At 53.9% G+C, this 22,666-nt stretch overlaps 2 protein-coding genes across 4 annotated transcripts, besides 3 other annotated features; one reads left to right on the forward strand and one right to left on the reverse strand.

Moving 5' to 3' along the window:
* Window positions 7–156: a silencer, noted in NCBI's record as "silent region_10691". NCBI's record gives its function as "represses an Ori minimal core promoter by ATAC-STARR-seq in GM12878 lymphoblastoid cells {active_cell/tissue: GM12878}" and the evidence as "EXISTENCE:reporter gene assay evidence [ECO:0000049][PMID:35858748]".
* ZNF526 (zinc finger protein 526) lies at window positions 158–8,047 on the forward strand. 2 transcript variants are annotated; one of them, NM_001314033.3, is made up of 3 exons: window positions 158–481; window positions 4,061–4,151; window positions 4,233–8,047. In NM_001314033.3, exon 3 carries the CDS (start codon window positions 4,250–4,252, stop codon window positions 6,260–6,262), a length of 2,013 nt encoding a protein of 670 aa, NP_001300962.1. In that variant the 5' UTR covers window positions 158–481; window positions 4,061–4,151; window positions 4,233–4,249; the 3' UTR covers window positions 6,263–8,047. The 2 variants fall into 2 exon arrangements, with proteins under 2 accessions (NP_001300962.1, NP_597701.1); NM_133444.3 differs by having other exon boundaries at window positions 158–233.
* GSK3A (glycogen synthase kinase 3 alpha) lies at window positions 10,036–22,448 on the reverse strand. Of its 2 annotated transcripts, XR_001753673.2 has the most exons (12): window positions 22,029–22,448; window positions 19,801–19,988; window positions 16,704–16,787; window positions 16,452–16,562; window positions 14,394–14,524; window positions 14,199–14,305; window positions 13,132–13,229; window positions 12,956–13,051; window positions 12,342–12,528; window positions 11,903–11,995; window positions 10,525–10,713; window positions 10,036–10,237 (listed from the first exon to the last, which is right to left on the reverse strand). XR_001753673.2 is itself a non-coding variant. In NM_019884.3 (11 exons), exons 1-11 carry the CDS (start codon window positions 22,309–22,311, stop codon window positions 10,640–10,642), a joined length of 1,452 nt encoding a protein of 483 aa, NP_063937.2. In that variant the 5' UTR covers window positions 22,312–22,448; the 3' UTR covers window positions 10,036–10,639. The 2 variants fall into 2 exon arrangements, 1 of the variants encoding a protein (NP_063937.2); NM_019884.3 differs by having other exon boundaries at window positions 10,036–10,713.
* Window positions 21,990–22,269: a silencer, noted in NCBI's record as "silent region_10692". NCBI's record gives its function as "represses an Ori minimal core promoter by ATAC-STARR-seq in GM12878 lymphoblastoid cells {active_cell/tissue: GM12878}" and the evidence as "EXISTENCE:reporter gene assay evidence [ECO:0000049][PMID:35858748]".
* Window positions 22,300–22,509: a silencer, noted in NCBI's record as "silent region_10693". NCBI's record gives its function as "represses an Ori minimal core promoter by ATAC-STARR-seq in GM12878 lymphoblastoid cells {active_cell/tissue: GM12878}" and the evidence as "EXISTENCE:reporter gene assay evidence [ECO:0000049][PMID:35858748]".

Consider the following 22,666-nt stretch of genomic DNA (forward strand, 5'->3'; position numbering starts at 1 on the left):
TCGCCCTGAGCCCCGCCCACAGGGCGAAGATGTGTGCGTGGATAACTCCCAGAGCCCCGCCTGTGTGGCAACACGCAGGCGCAAGGTCGCGTGCCCTGCGCTGCAGGCTCTGATTGGTCGCCACGGGTAAGGGCACCGCCCAATGGGAGGTGTGGATAGTGAGGGGTCCCACACGCCTGGAGCCGAGGGTCTGTGTCAAGAGCGGCAGGGGCTGCAGGAGATAAGAGAAACGGGTGAGGGCGCCGCGCGGGGCTGGACTGGGAAGAGAACGCTGGGCGGACGGAGGGGGCGGAAGGAAAACTAAGGGGTCTGCAGGGATCGAAGAGCCTTGGGGCCTGCGCTAGGGCGGGAGCGGCGCGGGCTGGAAGGAGAGCACTCCTTCCTGTGTGCCCTGGGGCTCCTTTAGTGTGCGGGAGCCTACGCTGGAACTCGCCCACCACCCACTGCTGCGAGCTCTCACCCTGCCGAGGAGCTCAGTCTGGTAGGAGACAAGCGTTGTAAAGCGGGAAAGTTGAATTTCCAGGGCCCTAGTGGGTTCCTTCCTGGAAAGACTTACTGATATACTGTGTGAAAAACCCCCATTCTTTCCCTAAGTAGTTCACAATTCAAGAGTGGGAGAAAGAATCGTAGACGAGGAAAGGGCAAATTTCAAGTCTCCCGGGCCACCTCGTAGACATTTATTGGGTACCTGCTTTGTGCAAGCTTTGCAGCAGGCACTGGGCCTCGCCCTAGGGGAGTTCTCTGTTGGAAATGGGGCTGTAATCAAGGAAAAATGGAACTCTCGGGCCCCTGGTTGCCTACTTCCAGGAAGGTCCTTTGTGGAATGGCTGTTGTGTGCAGGGGCCTGGCAACTCAAAAATTAGGAAGGGGATTGGAATAGTAGATAAGGAAAGTTTAGCTCCAGCTCCTTTAGTGAATAATTTACTCAAGGAGTATGTATTGGGCATTAACTGAAAGCAGGGCCCTGTACTGGGCTGTGTGTTTTGGGAATTCACAGTCTAATGGGGAAGTTGGTCTGGTAGAAATGGACTGTGCATAGGGACAGTTAAACTCAGGGTCGGCCAGGCAGTGGCTTACACCTCTAATTCCAGCGCTTTGGGAGGCCTGGGTGGGAGGATTGCTTGAGCTCAGTAGTTCGAGACCAGCCTGGGCAACATAGGGAGACCTCTCTACAAATAATTTAAAAATTAGCCAGGGGCTAGGTGTGGTGGCTCACACCTGTAATCCCAGCACTTTGGGAGACCATGGTGGGTGGATTTCTTGAGGTCAGGAGTTGAAGACCAGCCTGGGCAACATGATGAAACCCCATCTCTACTAAAAATACAAAAATTATCCAGGCGTGGTGGTGAATGCCTGTAGTTCCAGCTACTCAGGTGACCGAGGCGGGAGAATCGCTTGGACCCAAGAGGCGGAGGTTGCAGTGAGCCGAGATCGTGCCACTGCACTCCAGCCTGGGCAAAAAGAGAGAAACTCTGTCTCAAAAAAAGTAAAATAAAATAAATAAAAATAAAAATTTGCCAGGCATGATGGCAGATACCTGTGGTCCCAGCTACTCAAGAGGCTGAGGCAGGAGGATCACCTGAGTCCAGGAGGTGGAGGCCTCAGTGAGCCAAGATCGCACCACTGCACTGCAGCCTGGGCAACAGAGTGAGACCCTGTCTCAAAAGGAGGAAAAAAAAAAAAAAACCTCTCAAGGTCTCACTTCCCAAGGGAGGCTCACTGCAGCCTCCACCTCCTGGGCTCAAGTGATCAAACCACCTTAGCCTCCCAAAGTGCTAGGATTGCAGATGTGAGCCACCACACCTGGCCTGGGAGCATTTCTCAGTCACTAAATATGTACTGTGTGCTAGACATTGTTCTTGGCACTGGACGTGCTTCAGTGATGTGCAGGCTAAACTGCTACCGTCTAGGTGCTTAATATGAGCAACTTTTTTTTTTTTTTTTCCTCCTTGAGACAGAGTCTCACTCTGTCTCCAGGCTGGAGTGCAGTGGCGCAATCTCAGCTCACTGCAACCTCCGCCTCCCGGTTTCAAGCCATTCTCCTGCCTCAGCCTCCCAAGTAGCTGGGATTACAGGCGTGCACCACCACGCCCAGCTAATTTTTGTATTTTTTTTAGTAGAGACGGGGTTTCATCATGTTGGCCAGCATGGTCTCGATCTCTTGACCTTGTGATCGCCTGCCTTGGCCCCTAGAGTGCTGGGATTACAGGCGTGAGCCACTGCGCCCGGCAATATGAGCAACTTCTATATGCAAGGCTGTAAACCAGACTCCACCTGCCCTCTGGCACTAATAGATTAGGTGAAAAAGAGGTAAAGAAGGTGGGTTTGAATTCATAAAATTAGCTGCTAGGCCTGGGAGGGAGGCAGTCATTTGTTGAGTGTACTCTGAGTCCCTGCTGTGTGAAGGGGCCTGGGTGGGGTTGAGCCCACATACGTAGAAGGGAAGATGGGGCATATAGAGGGAAGTTTGAAAGTTAAAATTCCTGTCCCTGCTCAGAGGTTTTGTTGCTGACTGGAGCCTCCACAATGAATCAGACCCACAAACTCTCAGTCCAGTGAGGAACAGTGAGATGCCACCCCAAACTCATGATATTTGCCATGATAGAGGTGGCACAGGATACCATAGGAACCCTGAGGATGTAGAGATGTCAGAGAAGGCTTCACAAAAGGTGCTGGGTAGGAGTTTGTCAGACAAAAAGAGGAGAGAAGTTTCTTGGCAAAGGGAATAGCAACATCAAAGACTTAGGGTCTAAAAACAATCTTTCTGGAGAACTACACAGGGTTACAGCTGACCTTTACAAGTACCAGGGACTTTGTGTCAGTACTACTTTTAGCCCCATTTTACAGGTAAGAAGACAACCTCAGAGGAAGTAAGTGGTAGAGCTCAGATTCAAGCCAAGGGCAGTCTGGTTCCAGGGCCTGTGTTTTTAAACACTTGGGTGTATCTGTGTGTGTATATGTAAGAGGCAGAGGAAAAGCATTGCACAAAGAGAAAGCTGCACGCAGGCAAAGGCTATGGTATTCTCAGAAAAGGTGTGCCTGGCCCTCTCGGTAAAGAGGCCAGGCTGGCTGGGCCGGGTGTGGTGGCTCACACCTGTAATCCCAGCACTTTGGGAGGCCGAGGCAGGCGGATCACGAGGGCAAGAGATCGAGACCATCTTGGCCAACATGGTGAAACCCCATCTCTACTAAAAATACAAAAATTGGCCGGGCGTGGTGGCTCATGCCTGTAATCCCAGCACTTTGGGACGCCCAGGCGGGCAGATCACGAGGTCAGGAGATTGAGATTGTCCTGGCTAACACGGTGAAACCCTGTCTCTACTAAAAATACAAAAAATTAGCCGGGCGTGGTTGCAGGCGCCTGTAGTCCCAGCTACTCGGGAGGCTGAGCCAGGAGAATGGCCTGAACCTGGGAGGCAGAGCTTGCAGTGAGCAGAGATTGCACCACTGCACTCCAGCCTGGGCGACAGAGCGAGCCTCCATCTCAACAATAACAACAAAAAAATACAAAAATTAGCTGGGCATGGTGGCGCACACTTGTAGTCCCAGCTACTCGGGAGGCTGAGACAGGAGAATCACTTGAACCTAGGAGGTGGAGGTTGTAGTGAGCCGAGATTGCGCCACTGTACTCTAGCCTGGCAACAGAGCAAGAGTCCATCTCAAAAAAAAAAAAAAAAAAAAAAAGAGGCCGGGCTGTTGGCCGGGGTGGTGGCTCACATCTGTAATCCCAGCACTTTGGGAGGCCAAGGCGGGTGGATCACCTGAGGTCAGGAGTTCAAGACCAGCCTGGCCAACATGGTGAAACCTTGTCTCTACTAAAATATATATATATATATATATATATATATACAAAAATTAGCCAGGCATGGTGGCACACCCCTGTAGTCCCGGCCACTCAGGAGGCTGAGGCACGAGAATAGCTTGAACCCAGGAGCGAGAGGTTGCAGTGAGCCAAGATTGTGCCACTGCACTCCAGCTTGGGTGACAGACCAAGTCTCTGTCTCAGAAGAAAAAAAAAAAAAAAAAAGAGGCTGGGCTGAGTGGTGTTTCTCTCCTGCAGGCTGCCGTGGGGTGTGTGTAGGCTTCAGAGACATGGGATCACGGAAGACTGAAGCAGAAACAGTGGATTAAGACTTCCTGAGCGATAGCTGGTGAGTAGTGGGATGTGCAAGAGAATTCCACCTCCCCTTGGTTTCCTGCTGTCTCACTGGCTCCTGCCCCTCTTTCTCCAGGCACTGCCTTCCCCACAATGGCAGAGGTGGTGGCTGAGGTGGCCGAGATGCCAACACAGATGTCACCAGGGGCAGTGGAGATGTCAACACCTATGTCGGCAGAGATGATGGAGATGTCAACAGAAGTGACTGAGATGACACCTGGGGAGGCCCTTGCCTCATCCCTCTTCTTCCAGCATCACCAGTTCATGTGCTCTGAGTGTGGCAGCCTCTATAACACACTGGAGGAAGTCCTCTCACACCAGGAGCAGCACATGCTTGCTGTCTCAGAGGAGGAGGCACTGACCACACAGAATGTTGGCCTGGAGCCGGAGCTGGTGCCGGGTGCTGAGGGGCCCTTCCAGTGTGGTGAATGCAGCCAGCTCATCCTCTCCCCTGGGGAGCTCCTGGCCCACCAGGATGCCCACCTCCGAGAGTCTGCAAACCAGATCCAATACCAGTGCTGGGACTGCCAGGAGCTGTTCCCCTCGCCCGAGCTGTGGGTGGCTCATCGAAAGGCCCAGCACCTTTCTGCTACGGTAGCTGAGCCACCAGTGCCACCTCCTTTGCCTCCCCCAACACCACTGCCTCCACCTTCTCCCCCATCCGAAGTCAAGATGGAGCCCTATGAGTGTCCTGAGTGCTCTACCCTCTGCGCCACCCCTGAGGAGTTCTTGGAGCATCAGGGCACCCACTTTGACTCCCTAGAGAAAGAGGAGCGCAATGGGTTGGAGGAGGAGGAAGAGGACGATGAGGAGGATGAAGAAGATGATGAAGAGATGGAGGATGAGGAGGCCATGGCAGAGGTCGGTGATGATGCTGTGGGAGGTGACGAGTCCACAGCTGGCTGGGCTCAGGGCTGCGGGGACTGTCCCCAGCACCAGCCCTCAGCAGGGGCTCGCCGGCAACACCGGCGGACGGCTCACAGCCCGGCATCTGCCACCCACCCCTTCCACTGCAGCCAGTGTCAGCGCAGTTTCAGCTCCGCCAACCGGCTGCAGGCTCATGGGCGGGCCCATGTTGGTGGCACACATGAGTGTACAACCTGCTCCAAGGTCTTCAAGAAAGCAGCATCGCTTGAGCAGCACTTGCGGCTGCATCGCGGGGAAGCCCGCTACCTCTGTGTAGACTGTGGCCGCGGCTTTGGCACAGAACTCACGTTGGTGGCTCACCGGCGGGCCCACACTGCCAACCCATTGCATCGCTGTCGTTGCGGCAAGACGTTCAGCAACATGACCAAGTTCCTCTACCACCGGCGCACTCACGCCGGCAAAAGCGGGGCACCTCCCACAGGAGCAACAGCTCCCCCAGCTCCAGCGGAGCCCACCCCTCCACCACCACCCCCTGCCCCACCTGCCCAGCTGCCCTGCCCACAGTGCTCCAAGTCCTTTGCCTCAGCTTCCCGGCTGTCCCGGCACCGGCGTGCAGTACACGGGCCCCCTGAACGGCGTCACCGCTGTGGGGTTTGTGGCAAGGGCTTCAAGAAGCTGATCCACGTGCGCAACCACCTGCGGACACACACGGGTGAGAGGCCCTTCCAGTGCCACTCATGTGGCAAGACCTTTGCTTCTTTGGCCAACCTCAGCCGCCACCAGCTGACCCATACGGGTGCACGTCCCTACCAATGCCTGGACTGTGGCAAGCGCTTCACACAGAGCTCCAACCTGCAGCAGCACCGGCGGTTGCACTTGCGGCCAGTCGCCTTTGCCCGCGCCCCCCGCCTCCCCATCACTGGTCTCTACAACAAGAGTCCCTACTACTGCGGGACTTGTGGCCGCTGGTTCCGCGCCATGGCGGGCTTGCGACTGCATCAGCGGGTCCATGCCCGAGCTCGGACTTTGACGCTACAGCCTCCCAGATCACCATCTCCTGCCCCACCCCCACCTCCAGAGCCTCAACAGACTATCATGTGCACAGAGCTGGGGGAGACCATCGCCATCATTGAGACATCCCAGCCACTGGCGCTTGAGGACACCCTGCAGCTGTGCCAGGCTGCACTGGGGGCCAGTGAAGCAGGCGGGCTCTTGCAGTTGGACACGGCCTTCGTGTGACGCAGCTGAAAAGCAACAACAAAAGGGTTTGGTTGCAACAGCCAGTGTGGGTACCTCTGGGGAGAGAGGACCTCCTCTGACAAACTGGTCTGGTACCCACCATGTGCCAGGATCCACCCTGGCCTCTTTTTACCCACTGACTCCCCAGAACAACCCTTCCAGGCTTCTCTTGTCATCTTTCTCTGCCTGAGGGGAAACTGAAGCTCTGAAATGCGATGTGATCTGTACCAGGTCACCCAGCTATGCTGCAAAGTGGGTTGGCCAAGGCCCTTTGCACTGCATCACCCTGGTGCCCAGCAACATCAGGTAACCTTCACTGAGCACCAAGCTTATGCCAGGTCTGTGCTGGCCACTCTCATATACCTCTTCAGATCCTCTGCTTGTACCCCCAGCCCTTGCCTTCCCTGGATTTTGGGCACCCAGGACTTTGCTCTGCCTGGTGGAGGGTACTTGATTTCTCTGGGCTTCCTTCATCTCAATTCTGACAGTGTGGAAGGAAATCTGTAGGTACCCAGGTCCTCAGCTCCAGACTGGGTGATGCTGGAGACCCAGGAGCAAGTCAGCACAGGCTCTGCCCACAGGAGGCATGCACAATCTGGTAGGAGAAACGCACAAGTACAGATAGCTTGCTCTCTGAGTGTGTCTCATTGATTCATTCAGCCTGTGTGTCCTAAAGCCTCCCTTCTCCCATACTGGGTGATGCTGGGGGCAGAGATGAGTCAGGCCTAAGGCTTCTCTGGGCTGTGATGGGGATGTGCAGGGACAGTGGGATCCCAGGAAACAGACCTCCATGGTGGGAGATCAGGAGTTAAGGACTTCCTAGAGAAGGTAGTCCCTGAAGGAAAAGTAGGAATCTGGCAGTGAAAGAGGAAAAGAACATTCCAGGCAGACAGCACTGCAAGAGGGTGAGCTCTTGGTGTATTTGGAGACCATCCAGTTATTCATCTGACTGCCTACCTGAGGCAAGCACCACACTTACCACTGTATGTGTACTATGATCCCAACAGGCTTGTGACATAGATTTCATATTATCCCTGTTGTATAGATTTTTAAAACTGGTGGCTGGGCGTGGTGGCTCACGCCTGTAATCCCAGCACTTTGGGAGGCCGAGGCGGGCAGATCACGAGGTCAGGAGATCGAGACCATCCTGGCTAACACGGTGAAACCCCGTCTCTACTAAAAATACAAAAAATTAGCCAGGAGTGGTGGCGGGCGCCTGTGGTGGCCAGCTACTCAGGAGGCTGAGGCAGGAGAATGGCGTGAACCCGGGAGGCGGAGCTTGCAGTGAGCCGAGATCGCGCCACTGCACTCCAGCCTGGGCGACAGAGTGAGACTCCCTCTCAAAAGAAAATAAAAATAAAAATAAACTGGCCAGGTGCGGTGGCTCACGCTTGCAATCCCAGTGCTTTGGGAGACTGAGGCAGGAGGATCACTTAAGGCCAGGAGTTCGAGACCAGCCTGGGCAACAGCAAGACCTCATCTCTACAAAACTTAAAAGTTAGCCAGGCCTGGTGGCACATGCCTGTAATCCGAGTGCTTTGGGAGGCTGAGGCAGGAGGATCACTCGAGCTCAAGAATTCAAGACCTGGGCAAGAGAGAGAGACTTTGTCTCTATTAAAAATAAAAATGATTGGCCGAGCATGGTGGTGCACACCAGTATTCCCAGCTACTCTGGAGGCTGAGGCGGAGGCAGGATTGCTTGATATGAGGGAGATTGAGGCTGCAGTGAGCTGTGTTCACACCACTGCACTCCAGTCTGGGCAACAGTGCAAGACCCTGTCACTTAAAAAAAAAAAAAAGGAAAAAAAAACTAAGGACAGAGATTTGCCCAAGGTTTCACAGCTAGGCAGAGATGTGAGATTTGAGTACGGGAGGCCCCTGCGGCCCACATTTGTAACCCATACTATTCTGAGTGATTAAGACCTGAAACTTGTGCAGGGGTAGGGGATCAGAGGAAGATTCATTCTAACTAGAGGAAAAGTAAACCAGTGTCAGAGCTATTGGGATTTGAAGGGGCTTCGAAACATCAAAGGTCTTGAGAGCAGGAAGATTCCCACCTTTTTCAGAGGTTACCTAGGATAATAGTCTTTCTCTCCATTGATTGATTGATTGATTGAGATGGAGTCTTGCTCTGTTGCCCAGGCTGGAGCACAGTGGTGCAGTCTCAGCTCACTGCAACCTCCACCTTCCAGGCTCAAGCGATTCTCCTGCCTCAGTCTCCCTAATAGCTGGGATTACAGGCCCCCACCACTGCACCCAGCTAATTTTTGTATTTTAGTAGAGACAGGGTTTTGCCACGTTGACCAGGCTGGTCTCAATCTCCTGACCTCAGGTGATCTGCCCGCCTTGGCCTCCCTAAGTGCTAGGATTACACGTGTGTGCCACTGAGCCTGGCCATAATAGTCTTTATCTCCCTAAGCACATGCAGGTGATTCCTGATAGGCTCCTCCCAGGCCCCTGCAGCCCAGGGTGCTCAGGCAGGGCAGGCAGAATGCAGTTGGGGATGGAATTGTCCAGGAGGGAGGCCTAGACTTTGGAAGGCCTTGAAAGCTGGCTGAGTAGTTCCAGGTTGGGGGAGGGTCGTAACTGGTGTTAGATCTGGGCTCAAAGTGGGGTGAGTGGGAAGCTAAAGATGGTCCAGCAGAAGACAGGGCTGGACCTGGGAAGGGGTCATGGGGTGGTAGAAGGGTGAGGGACACCTCACTGACTTCACGGCTGACCACGTGTGAGTAGCAGGGAGGAAGGCGTCCCCAGGATCCCAAGGTCTGCCCCTCGCCCAGAACAGCCATCCTCCCCCTTATCCATCAGCTTGCTCTGTATGTTCATTCATTGATACTACAAACCAGGCGAAATCTGGGTGGTGTTGAGCAAGGAAGGGGCAGGGTCTGTCCTATCCCAGGCAGTGTAAAGATGCCCCTGGAGTGGGTTGAGCAAACTGGAGAGCCCAGACCCCACAGGAACAGTCCCTTCACTCCATCTGGGACATTTGAAACTCCTCCCTTTTTGTTCACCGGTGGAATCCAGTAGGGGGCATACCCATTGCTCCTCCCCAGGCCCCCTTCCACCTCTGGGGTGTCCTGGCCACACTCACTGCTCGGTGCCATGTGGAGGAGATAACATTTCCTTCCGCCCATGCCCCACTATCTGGCCCCAGCATGTTTTAAGTGAGGATAAAAGTCAAGTTCTCTGTCCCCACCTTCACAGGGTTGTCACTTCCCAACATCCCTAAGAGGTGGACCAGGTAGGTGTCCTGTTTAAGACTTGGAAATGAAGGCTTGGAATCTTCTAGGGTTCCATCTCCAGCCATGGCCACCCAACAAAGAGTCTACAAGCAGGCTAAGTTTTGGCCTGAGTGACTCCTCATCATCTCATGTCCCCCCAGACCCTAGAGCAGCAGGCAGCTTGGGCTAAGACAGACGGCCCATTGTTCAAGTCCTGACTCTTCTGTCACTTAAGCTCCATGGCCTTCCCCTCTCTGATCCCCAGTTGGCTCACCAGTTACTGGGAGGTTAATCCCTCCCTCCCTAAGCAGAAGCAGATGATTTATGCTGGGTCATGGAGCAGGCTCCTCCTAGGCCTCTACAGCAGATAACCCAGATGGAGCTCATCACCACACGTGCAGAGAAAGCCACGGTGTGAGAAGGTTGGGCACCTGAGCCAGGGCCTTCGGACAGCCCTCTGCCTGAGATGCAGCTCACTCCCGTCCCAGAACAGTCCCCCCACCGGAAGCCCCCACCACCTCAGCGGAAACAGGCAGCCGGACAGAAAGCAGGTTTTCATGCCAATAATTTATTGAACGGAGGTCTGTACACAGGCAAACCTTACTGTGGAAACTAAGACATCAGGAGCTCTCTCCACTCCCCTGGCCCTCCAGGGTGGGGTGAGGAGGGAGTAGACCTTGGGGGCAGAGGACAGGAGGGGAGTTACAGCTGTAGGAGGGGCGGGGCCAGGTTGGACGGTGCGAATCGACGTTTTCTTTAAGAAAAAAATTATAACAATCTATTTACACCCGGGGGCCAGGGAAGGGAAGAGGAGACGGGCTGGGCTGGTTCTATTTACAAGGGACACAGGAGGGGAGGGGGTCTGGAGGAGGTGGAGGTCTGGGGGAGGGGAGGGGGCCAAGGGGGTAGGAGGTCCTCATCCCCCCAACACCCTGTCCTTCTCTTCCCTCCCCACAACCAGTTAAAATCCTCTTAAAAAGCCCACCACAGGGGTGAGGCTGGTGAGGGAGGGACTGGAGGTGGGGACAGGGACTCATTTACCTCTGCCCTCTAGTCTAGGGGCCCAGCCAGGGCAGGAGCTTGATGGGCTATGGCCCCCCTTCCCAGCCCCTCTTGGGGCTCCCAGATGGAAGTGGAAGGGTGCTTGGTGGGGCCCTCAGGAGGAGTTAGTGAGGGTAGGTGTGGCATCGGTCGACTGCCAGTCTGAGCTGGTCGGAGTCTCAGTTAAAGCTGGAGGGAGGCAGGGAAGGAGCAGAGTTAGCCTTTGCCTTTCAGACACCCCTTCGCCCAACCCAAAAGTAGGAATTCTCTTGTCATAGATGCTACATTAAAAGTTACAAGCTGTTACTTTAGGTGAAGGGTTGCAAACTCAAGTGCTAAAGGGCCACGATAGTAACTGAGTGACACACCAGAGTGCCAGGCTCCATATAAGGCGGTGGCTGGGCTGGGCACAGTGGCTCACGCCTGTAATCCCAGCACTTTGGGAGGCTGAGGTGGGCAGATCACAAGGTCAGCAGTTCGAGACCAGCCTGGCCAACATGGTGAAACTCCATGTCTACTCAAAATACAAAAATAAGCCAGGCATGGTGGTATGAGCGTGTAATCCCAGGTACTTAGGAGGCTGAGGCAGGAGAATCACTTGAACCCAGGAGGCAGAAGTTGGAGTGAGCCGGGATTGTGCCACTGCACTCCAGCCTGGGTGACAGAAAAAGACTCCGTCTAAAAAATATAAAGGGCGCCCACTGTCTACTGTCAGTAGGATGGGCGGGCCCATTGCTGCCCAATCTGATTTTCTTCCCCAAGAGAAACAGGAAATCTGAATTTTTACATAAAATAGCCCCATTTTTAAACGTGGACACCATGGCCAGGCACAGCGGTTCACGCCTGTAATCCCAACACTTTAGGAGGCCAAGCGGGAAAATCACCTGAAGTTCAAGACCAGTCTGGCCAACATGGTGAAACCTCATCTCTAGTAAAAATACAAAAATTAGCCAGGCGTAGTGGTGTGTGTCTGTAATCCCAGCTACTCGGAGGCTGAGGCAGGAGAATTGCCTGAGCCCAGGAGGCGGAGATTGCAGTGAGCCGAGATCGAGCCACTGCACTGCAGCCTGGGTGGCGAGTGAAACTCTATTGCACAAAAAAAAAAAAAACAAACTTGGGCAACGAATTCAACTTTTTGTTTGTGTTCAGGCCAGACGTTATTTCTCTGGCTTTCCCATTGGCATTAAACACATTTAAACATTTGTACGCAAGAATACCCTCTAAAGGTGGTCATTCACATGTTGTAAGATGTGTTTCCTATGCCATCAAAATGTCGATGATTTAAAAATACATTCAGGAAACCCAGTCACTGAGCGAACAGCCCCACCCTCTCCAGGCTGAGAGATACTTTAACCCCCAGCAGATGGTCCCCACTTACCTTGTGAGGACGGGGTGAGGGTGGTAGTGCCCGCTGGGGACCTCAAGTGAGGAGGGATGAGAATGGCGTTGAGAGACGGTTGGATGGAGAGTTCTAGAAACAGGAATTGACATGCTAGTCAGGGTAGACTACAGCAGGGTTATGATGGGCACCAAATGGGAACCCAGCTATTGGGAAGGCCAGTTGTTTGTGGACACCTTCAGCCACAGACCTCTCTCAATGAAAAACCAGAAAAAGCTTAGCACAAGGCAGATCACAGTAAAGCACAACTGAAGCAGGTTCGATTCCCCCTGAATCTGGGAGTCATCTTTCCTGAGCCCCAGGCCTGCCTTGTACCCTGCCCTTAGCTCCCCACTCCTGCTTCAACACCAAGCTCCTCACAATCTTTGGCTGCCCCCCTACCCCGCCCCACTCCCCAGATCCCAGGCTATGCCCTCACCACCAGCACTGAAGTTGAAGAGAGGGGGAAGTGGGCGGTTGTTAGGCAGCTGGGTTCCCAGACATCGCAGTTCATCAAAGAAGCTGTGCGCACAGGCCTCTAGTGGGGAGAGCCTTGAGGATGGGGTGTACTCCAGCAGGCTAGAGCAGAGCGCGATGGCCTCTGGCGGCGTTCGAGATTTGAACACCTGAGGGATGGGTGCAGGGCTCATGAGGGTGAGATGCCCTGGACACTGGCATACTCCTGTTATCTCACTGCCACAGTGCCTGCGGCAAGTTATGACTGGTTGCTTCCCACACCCCCACCTTCCAAATGAAGAAACTAAGGCCCAACCACTAAGGAGAGGTCAGTTTGTATCGGGTAAGCAGGCAGCCCAGGTCTGGGACTATATGAGCCCTGCTGACCCTCCATAAAAATTGGAATCTTGAATTTACTTGTGGGTTCTCAACTTTTAAAATGCCATAAACTTTGAAAGCGGATGGATGTTATTGATCCCTGGATAACTCTTCAAATCCTCCCAAGCCGTGATTCTGAGGCTAGGTCCACAGAACAGTTGACCTCCAAGGGGGACCAGCTCTCAGCCATACTGCCCTGAGCCCCTAGCCCTGCCCCACCTTTGTCCAGGGGTGAGCTTTAATCTGAGGGAACTTGAACTCCGTGTAGTTGGGGTTCATCTCTCGGATTTGTTCCCGGGTTGGTGTTCCCAGCACCTGTAAAGAGAGGGAGGGGTCTGAGACAAGGGCCCCATCCCTCAGCCCCACCCCCTGCCCAGCCCAGCCCCGCCCCTCACCTTGATGATCTCCACCAGCTGGTCCACCCCACTGTCCCCAGGGAAGATGGGCTGGCCCAAGAGGAGCTCTGCCAGTACACAGCCAGCTGACCAAACATCTGAGGGGAAATGGAGGGAGCGTCAGGGCTAGGCGAGTAGGGCCACCAACCTCCCAATGCTTTTATTCCTCATGGCCATCCTAAGAGTGTCAGGAGCCCCGTTTTCTCAAAGACAAAGCACCTGGCCCAAGGTCACATGCAGCTTAGAAACATGGGCCCGACCTTGACCCTGCCTTTGCTGTACTCTCTAGTCTAGGTGTGTTTCCAGCCCTCAGTTCCTCTCTCTGCTAAGGACCCCAATGAGCTCCTTCTCTCCCGCTAGCCTTGGACGACAGACCAAATTAGGCCCAAACCTGCCAACAGGCACCCATGTTCTTTGGGCCACAGGAAGGTACAGCCTTAAATCCTGGACTGCCTTCCTCTTGTTCCAGCCTCTCTCCTGCCCATGAGAAGAGCTGCAGCGTGGCAGTCTCACCCCTCCCTGCTTTGTACCTTGACCCCCACAGCACGAGTTCATACCTAAGGACTCCACAGTTCGTCATGCTGCTGTGGAAGGTGCCCTTTCAAACTCTCATGCCCATTCCCTCAATTCAGACTTCCCCTCATGCCTGGAAAATGGCAGTTGTCCCCACAAACAGGGAAGGACACAGAGGCCCTGGGAGCAAGTTGCACCTTCATGGTGGCAAAGCCTTGCTTCCCGGTTCCCCCAAGGTCTCCAGCAGCCCTTCCCCCTAGCTGAGAACAGAGGGCTGACAGGGAGGTTCCAGAGCTGGTATGGACTCTGGAGTCAGGTCAGCTTTCAAATCCCAGTCCTGCCCAGTCCTAGTGGTGCCAGTGCGGGCAGGCGGCCTCACAGCTCTAAGCTCATCTGTAAAATTAGCATTCAACAGCATCAGCCTCCTAAGTTTGTGAGGACTGGATACAAGAACAGAAGTTAAGCTTTCATCACCAAGCTTGGCATACAGCACACAGAAAACTCCAAAACTTCCCAGATTGCCACTCCCCCCGCCACCCTCCCATAACTCTGACCGATGGATGAGGTGTAATCAGTGGCTCCAAAGATGAGCTCTGGGGCCCGGTAGTAGCGAGAACAGATGTAGGAGACATTGGGCTCCCCTCGGACCAACTGCTTTGCACTGTGGGAAGAGATGGGCAGGGGTACACGTGAGGCAAGGGTTGGGGTCCCCCCTGCCTCTTCAGCCACCCAACATGCCCCAGGCCCACCTGCCAAAATCGCAGAGCTTGAGGACAGCAGTGTCAGGGTCCACCAGCAGGTTCTGGGGCTTGATGTCGCGGTGACACACGCCCTGGGAGTGGATGTAGGCCAAGCTGCGGAAGAGCTGGTACATGTACACCTGCGGCGGGCACAGGATAGCAGAACTTTAGCCCAGCTTTCCCCATACAGCACCACTACCCCACCAGCTTGGCCTGAAGAGCCCTTCCAGGCCCACTCTCCCTGCTGCCCCCACAGCTTTGGGGAAACCCATTTGAAACCTTGGTTCTCTTAATGTGCACCACAATCACTTGAAGGACTTGTTAAAACAGGGACTACTGGCTGGGCGTGGCGGGTCACGCCTGTAATCCCGGTATTTTGGGAGGCCAAGACCAGCCTCGCCAACATGTTGAGATCCCGTCTCTACTAAAAATACAAAAATTAGCCGGGCGTGGTGGTGCACACCTGTAATCCCAGCTACTCGGGAGGCTGAGGCAGAAGAATCACTTGAACTCAGGAGGCGGAGGTTGCAGTGAGCCGAGATCGCACCACTGCACTCCAGCGTGGGTGACAGAGACCCTGTCTCAAAAAAAACAAAAAAAAAGGGACTGCTGGGCCCCACTCTTAGAGTTTCTGATCAGTGAGTTCTGAATGAGGCATTTGCAACAAGCTCTCCAGCACTGATGCTGGTCCCCGGACCACACTCTGAGAACCACTGCTTTAATCACAACCCTTGGCAGAAGCCTGATGAGTAAGGTACATCGGGAGGTTGTCATAAAACAGGCTAGGGAGCCAGGCACTCAGCTTCCCCCTCACCAAAACCACTGGCTCCTTAATCCGACAATCAAAACCACCCCTGAGCCTGCCCCCTCTCCAGCTCCATTTTCCTGCCACTCTCCCTCCCACTGACTAGAACAGAAGTACCGTGAGAGCAGGATTTTGAGTTTCAGTTACTGCTGCATCCCCCAGGGCCTAGACAGACCAGGTCCTGACATGGCTGCTTCCTAGGCCCCCTTCCTTTTATTCCAGTTCCCCTCGGCCAAAGATGCCACTTCCTTGCCCTGTGCTTGGTCTCCTCCAGGAAGCCTTCCTTGATCCTTCTCACCCACAAACCAGGCTGGGTGCTTCCTCCATTTCCAGAATTCCCTGTGCTCCTTCTGGTATGGCAGCAGCTAGTTCATTTAATAGTTTTCTGTGATGACGCCTTTCTACCCTACCAAACTGAGAGCTCTTCAAGGCCAAGGCCTGGGTCGCAGTCAGTGGTGCCTCTGGAATTCCTCAGCCCTGGGACCCGTATGCAGGCAGCCACAGGACAGATTCGCCAAACCAGAGAGCTCCCCTCCTGGGAAGTGAGGTCCAACAGCCACAACCACTGGTAGAGCCCACGTCGGCTCACCCGTGCTTGGTACGTAAAGCCAGCAGGAGCAGCAGCTGGGCCCCAAGTGACCTTCAGCAAACAAACCCACCCACCTCCTTCCAATGCAGTAGGCTGCTCCAGCCTGTTCGCCACATCATCCCTGGGCTGCAATCATTCATTCATTCATTCAAACACCTCCTGAAGGTCTGTAACACCCAGGGCACGATGCCAGGCACTGGGGAATGAGCCTGCACAGATGATGGACGGAGATGCATTCCTGGCTCTGTGGATGCTAACCTTCCTCCAGCCCTAACTCCTTCCCACCTACCCCCAGCCAAGGCTCTAAAGGCCCGAACTCTGGCCTCAGCAGCTGTCTCTGTGCAGTCCTGGTCCCCACCACCCCCTTATCCTGAGCTAACTCCAACATCTCTGGTGCCACTGGACTCCCTGTATGGACCTGAGCAACTACCTGGCAGCTTCTGCAACCCCAGGTGTCAGGCTGCCTTCCTGATTCAGTCAGGCCTTGCCTGCCTTGGCCCTCCCCTGTGTTAGGCGAGCTCCATCTCGGGGGGTTATGGGAACAACAGCAGGGGACATGGGGCCTCCAAAAACCAACATAAACTTGGCGGATGAGGGATCCCATAAAAGGCAGGAGGCTCCAGAGCCCCTGGCTTTGTGGGCCTGGGTCCCAGCAGCCCACCTGCTGGCCTACCTTGACATAGAGGATAGGGATGGTCAACTTGGCCTTGGTGAAGTGGCGGGCCACCCGGTACACTGTCTCGGGCACATATTCCAGCACCAGATTTAGGTAAAGCTCGTCTTTCTGCAGGGAGCAAAGGAGAGGTGTGAGGCACTGTGAGAAGAGTGAGGAGGGGGAAGGAAGGTATGCAGGGAGCAGTGGGGGAAAGGCAGGCAGGCAGGAAAATGGCTGGAGCAACCCACCACCACCACCTCGAGATCTCACCTTCTCGCCACTGGAGTAGAAAAAGTATCTCAGCCTCACAATATTGCAGTGGTCCAGCTTACGCATGATCTGCAGCTCTCGGTTCTTGAGGGCAAAGGGAGAGTCTCAGAATACAACCAACTCTCTCGGCTGCTCCTCCCTACTCACACTCACTCCCAACAACAGCCAGGCAGCTACTCCCTGTGTCCCAGCTCCAAGGTCCCCTGGAGTATCCCCCAATTCCTTGTCTCCAGACTATTCCCCTCCCACAGGAGCTGGAAGCCCACAGGTTAAACCCAGGCCACAGATGTGTTTTCTTCACCCCATTTTTTTTTTTTTTTGAGACAGAGTCTTGCTCTGTTGCCAGGCTGGCATGCAGTGGCTCAATATCGGCTCACTGCAACCTCTGCCTCCCTGGGTCAAGCAATTCTCCTGCCTCAGCCTTCCAAGTAGCTGGGATTACAGGCATGCACCACCACGCCCAGCTAATTTTTGTATTTTTAGTAGAGATGGGGTTTCACCACGTTAGCCAGGATGGTCTCGATCTCCTGACCTTGTGATCCACCTGCCTCAGCCTCCCTGACCTCATGATCCACAGGCCTCAGCCTCCCAAAGTGCTGGGATTACAGGCGTGAGGCACCGCGCCCAGCCACCCCACTTAAAAAAAAATTTTTTTTCAACTTATTGCTGACATGTAAAAGCCAAATGGCACCTTCTGATTTTTTTCTCCAAAATAAAGTTTTAAAAAGGATAGGCCAGGGCCAGGCGTGGTGGCTCACGCCTGTAATCCCAGCACTTTGGGAGGCTGAGGTGGGTGGATCACGAAGTCAGGAGATTGAGACCATCCTGGTTAACACGGTGAAACCCTGTCTCTACTAAAAATACAAAAAAAATTAGCCAAGCATGGTGGCAGGCACCTGTAGTCCCAGCTACTCGGGAGGCTGAGGCAGGAGAATGGCGTGAACCCAGGAGGCGGAGCTTGCAGTGAGCTGAGATCGCGCCACTGCACTCCAGCCTGGGCGACAGACTCTGTCTCAAAAAATAATAATAATAAATAAATAAATAAGATAAAATTTATTATTATTATTATTTTTAAAAGAACCTGGCTATGTTGGCCAGGTTGGTTTTGAACTCCTAGTCTCAGGCAATCCTCCTGCCTCGGGCTCTCCAAGTTCAAGGATTACAGGCATGAGCTACCATACCCAGCCTTAAAATAAAAATAAAATAAAAAACAGCTGGGCATGGTGGCTCACCCCTGTAATCCCAGCACTTTGGGAGGCCAAGGCAGGGAAATCACTTGAGGCCAGGAGTTCGAGACCAGCCTGGCCAACGTGGCAAAACCCCATCTCTACTAAAAATACAAAAAAATTAGCTGGGCATGGTGGCGCACGCCTGTGATTCCAACTACTCAGGTGGATGAGGTACAAGAATTGCTTGAACCCAGGAGGCAGAGGTTGCAGCGCTTGAACCCAGGAGGCAGAGGTTGCAGTGAGCCGACATCACACCACTGCACTCCAGCCTTAGTGACAGAACGAGATTCTGTCTTAAAAAAAAAAAAAAAAAAATAGAGACCATCCTGGCTAACTCGGTGAAACCCCGTCCCTACTAGAAATACAAAAAATTAGCCGAGAGTGGTGGCACACGCCTGTAGTCCCAGCTACTAGGGAGGCTGAGGCAGAAGAATCGCTTGAACCCGGCAGGCGGAGGTTGCAGTGACCCGAGATCACGCCACCACACTCCAGCCTGGGTGACAGCATGAGACTCCGTCTCAAAAAAAAAAAAAAAAAAAAAAAAAAGATTTCACATCTAAATCCAGTTTTCAGTTTGTCTTGAAAAATCAGGGCTAGGTATGCTGGCTCATGCCTGTAATACCAGCACTTTGGGAGGTCGAGGTGGGGGCGGATTACTTGAGGTCAGGAGTTCGAGACCAGCCTGGCCAACATGGCAAAACCCTGTCTCTACTAAAAATACAAAAAAAAAAAATTAGCCAGGCATAGTGGCCCATGCCTGCAATCCCAGCTACTCAGGTGGTTGAGGCACAAGAATCGCTTGAACCTGGGAGGCAGAGGTTGTAGCGGGCCAAGATCGTGCCACTGCACTCCAGCCTGGGTGACAGAGTAAGACTCCATCTCAAAAAAAAAAAATCAGGCATGGGCACATGAGGCTTGCCCCCCTACCTGGCACAAGCAACAACAGACAGGTAGTGGCCATCCAGCTCACTCTGGTCCCGTGGAAGCATCTGGGTCCTCGAACTCTATCTAGGATCCTGAGTCCCAGACTCCAGGCATTGGACTTTTCCCAGAATGCGGTCTCAGCATTCTTCCCCATTCTCTATTCCTCAGTGAGGCCTAGGAACTCCCTGCCCCTACATCCCTCTTACTTCTGGAACTCAACTCCAATCAAATTCTGACACCCTGGAGCTCCTCCTGCCCAAGGGCCCTCCCTGCCAAGACCGAGGCCCTGGTCTGGTTCCTTTCCAGTCTAGGCTCAGTTCTCCTACATCCAGACTAGTCTAAGCTCCAAATGCCAGGCCCTTAAACACCAATTATTCCTCAACTTCCACTTCCTCCATCTCCTTCTAGTTCCCTGAGCCTCTCCTAGCTCACAGGGCACCTCCATTCCATTCTGCGCTGGCCAAACACCTGGGAAGAGCGCGACCTTCAGAACCACCCGCGCTAGCCCTGCCAGGTCCCTTTCTCTCCTGGGAAGAAGTGTAACCAAATGGTTAAGGTAGAGGGTTTGGGAATCAGATTCCAGCCTTGACTGGGGCACTTGCTCTATGACCTCAGGCAATCCTCTTACCTGAGTTTGTTTCCCTGCTTTTAAACTTAGCTTACACTTAGAATGGGTATAACCACAGTACCTACCCTCAGAGAATCTTTATGTAAATTAAACAAGAATTTGCTTATTAAGCACTTACATTGAGCAAATGCCCAGTAAAAGCTCTGGGCTCTCCTGGGATCCACATTTCCCATCTTTCACAGGTCTCATTTCCTCTTTTCCCCCTTCTCTTCTGGCCCATGGCTCTGAAACCCAAGCCTCCAGCTCTCTGGCTCAGGTTCTCCCACCAGTCACACCCAGTCCCCAAACCTCCCTGTCCCCATCCCGCCCAAGCTACCTTGAACCTCTTGTCCTGGAGAACCTTCTTGATGGCGACTAGTTCCCTGGTCTCTGCCAGCCGTGCCTGGTACACGACCCCAAATGAGCCATTGCCAATCACTTTGATGTCCGTGTAAGCCACTTCTTGGGAGCGCTCTGGGCCTTGGCCTAGAGTGGCTACGACTGTGGTCACCTTCCCGCTGTCACCTGGGGAACAAAGGGGATACACGATCCACTGACCCATCCTGCCTGCGCATCACCCTATCCTGGGGCTGTGGGAGGAAGGGAAATCTCTGCAGGAAGCTCGTTGGGGACCTCTTTGTCCCCTCCTCCTCTTTGAGGAAAGGTGGATGCTGGGACCTTCCCAGTGACTTTTCCCCTCTTCCTTTCTGGGAATCTTAAGTCCTGCTCCCCTCCACATAGGAGGATATTGATACCTAAATCTCTCTGCTTCAAGGGTTGGCAACCCCAAATTTCTACTTCTAGGAAGCAACAGATCACTGGTCCATCTTGGTACTGGGAGACATCAGATGTTGACTCCATCTACTCTGGATCTACTGCCCTCTGGCCCCTCCTATTTGGAGAAAGCTTGACCGAGCCTCTTCCACTTCAGGGAGCAGTAACCCTGAGGTACTCCTACTTTAGGAAAGCACTAACCTCTCTCACAGCCTAGAGGATACTGACCTCTAAGTCCTCCCCTGTAGAGCTGGTAACTTTACTGGTTCTTGGTGACAGAAATGAATGTCCTCTCCTGCTATAAGTGCCAGTGCCCTGACCCTCACTTTTTGGTACTTTGAGGTTAGAAAAAAACACTGACCTGACCTCTTCATCTGAGTGGTCCAGAGACCCAGACCCCTCACTATATGTGGGTGGTCCCTAATGGACAAGCACCAAATTATGATAATGATGAACCTGACCTTTATTATCAAGGAGCTATTCCAGCCTCAGTCCTTTGAAGGAAAGCTATAATTCCCAATTCCCATTATTCAAATGGTGGCAAACCTTGGTGCCATTCTTAGAGGATAGTGACCCCTTTGAGTAACTGATGAACCAAATCCATTTTTTTGTTTTTTTTTTTGAGACACAGTTTCGCTCTCGTTGCCCAGCTGGAGTGCAGTGGCACGATCTCGACTCACTGCAACCTCCGCCTGCTGGGTTCAAGCGATTCTCCTGCCTCAGCCTCCCGAGAAGCTGGGATTACAGGCGCCCGCCACCACGCCCAGCTAATTTTTTATATTTTTAGTAGAGACAGGGTTCCACCAGTTGGCCAGGCTGGTCTCGAACTCCTGACCGCAGGTGATCCGCCCACCTCAGCCTCCCAAAGTGCTGGGATTACAGGCGTGAGCCACCGCGCCCGGCCACCAAATCCATTTTGAGGGGCCAGTGACAAGTTCTTTCAGAGGGAGATAACCCTACATCACTTTTTTTTTTCAGAGCCAATGACACCATACCTTAGAACAATTATTAAAAAAGTATAACCTTAGATCCATATTCTGTAGGAAACTGTGACCTACCCTGCTCCATTCCATTTTTGTTAAAGGAGACACACCAAGCCATGTATTTTAAAACATGGACTATGGACTTGGTTTGAAGGATATGCTGACTCCCAATGTCTTTATATCTAAAAGGCAGTAACTATTAATTCTCACCATTGGCAGTACAGCTCAACAAGATTTAGGGTGGGTAATGATGCCAGGTCTTGGTTTTAATAGGGAAGATGATCTGAGTACCAGGTTTGGAAAGCCTGGCCCTATTCTTTGGGGACAAAACACAGTAACCTCAAAGCCCTGCTTCTAAGTGATATTCGCTCCAAATCCCCATCTTCTGAAGGACAGGGAATGCAGATCCCTCTTTTTCGGGGTTGGTCTTATTCTTGTTCTCTTAGGAGACAATAACCCTAGATCCCCATTTGCAAGCGACTGTGACCTCTGATCCAATATTATAATGAATAGCAACATCAGATACCTGTTCTTAAGGCTCAAGGACCCAAGACCTCAATAATGGAAGAACAGAGACTTGTAACCCGTTTCTTTAAGTGTTAGTAATTCTGATCCACGAGTAATTCTGATCTCCAAGAGATGGTAACCCCAAGACTCCTTTTCCTGGGAGGAAGAGGGCTCGGATCCCCGGTATGGGGAGGCACAGTGACCTCGAGCTCCTATCTAAGCACATGAAAGAATCTGATGGATGTCTGAGGAGCTTTGGGAACCCTAATCACCACCCTACACGGGCGCCACTAGTACTCACGGCCCAGCTTCACCCCGGGCGGCGGGAAGCTAGTGCCTGCGCCGGGGCCTCCGCTGCCTCCTCCGCCGCTGCCGCCGGGTCCACCCCCGGAGCTCGAGGCCCCGACGCCCCCACCCATGGCCCCGACAGATGCCTTTCCGCCGCCGGTGCCGCCTGGGCCGGAGGCCGAGCCTCCGGGGCCGCCGCCGCCTCCTCCGCCTCCGCCGCCGGGCTCCGCGAACGAGCTAGTCCGCGCCCTGCCCGAGCCCCCAGGGCCGCCTCCCGAAGGCCCGCCGCCGCTCATGGCGCCGAGCACAGGCCCAGGCTGCGGGGCTCGGGCTGCCCGGGCTGCCCCAGCCGCCGCCGCTGCCGCCGCCTCCCCCGGGCCCTGGCCTCTTCCAGGCCGCGCCGCTCTGGCTTGGGCTCCGGCTCCGGCCCAGCGCCCGCCGCGGGGCACGCCGGGAGATGCAGTCCGGCTGTCGTCCGCGCCGCCGTCACCGCCCTCGGCCCGCACAGAGAGCCGCGTGGCACGCCGGGAAATGAAGTCCACAAAAGCCTCAGAGTAGACCGCGGGAATGATGGGCGGGAATGACGGGTCACGCTGTACGTCGGGAAATGGAGTCCAGGGTAATCTGTCAGCCGACTGTACGACGGGGAGC

This window comes from Homo sapiens, chromosome 19, assembly GCF_000001405.40.
Source record: "Homo sapiens chromosome 19, GRCh38.p14 Primary Assembly".
Lineage (NCBI taxonomy): Eukaryota > Metazoa > Chordata > Mammalia > Primates > Hominidae > Homo > Homo sapiens.

What these genes read in the sequence shown, in the direction of transcription:
- ZNF526 (NM_001314033.3), top strand. Translation starts at nt 4,250, where the DNA reads ATGGCAGAGGTGGTGGCTGAGGTGGCCGAGATGCCAACACAGATGTCA.
- GSK3A (NM_019884.3), bottom strand. Translation starts at nt 22,311, where the DNA reads ATGAGCGGCGGCGGGCCTTCGGGAGGCGGCCCTGGGGGCTCGGGCAGG. An exon ending in TCTACTCCAGTGGCGAGAAG is followed by an intron (nt 16,563 to 16,703) that starts GTGAGATCTCGA and finishes TGCTCCCTGCAG; the next exon opens with AAAGACGAGCTTTACCTAAA. An exon ending in AGCTGGTGGAGATCATCAAG is followed by an intron (nt 13,052 to 13,131) that starts GTGAGGGGCGGG and finishes CTCTCTTTACAG; the next exon opens with GTGCTGGGAACACCAACCCG.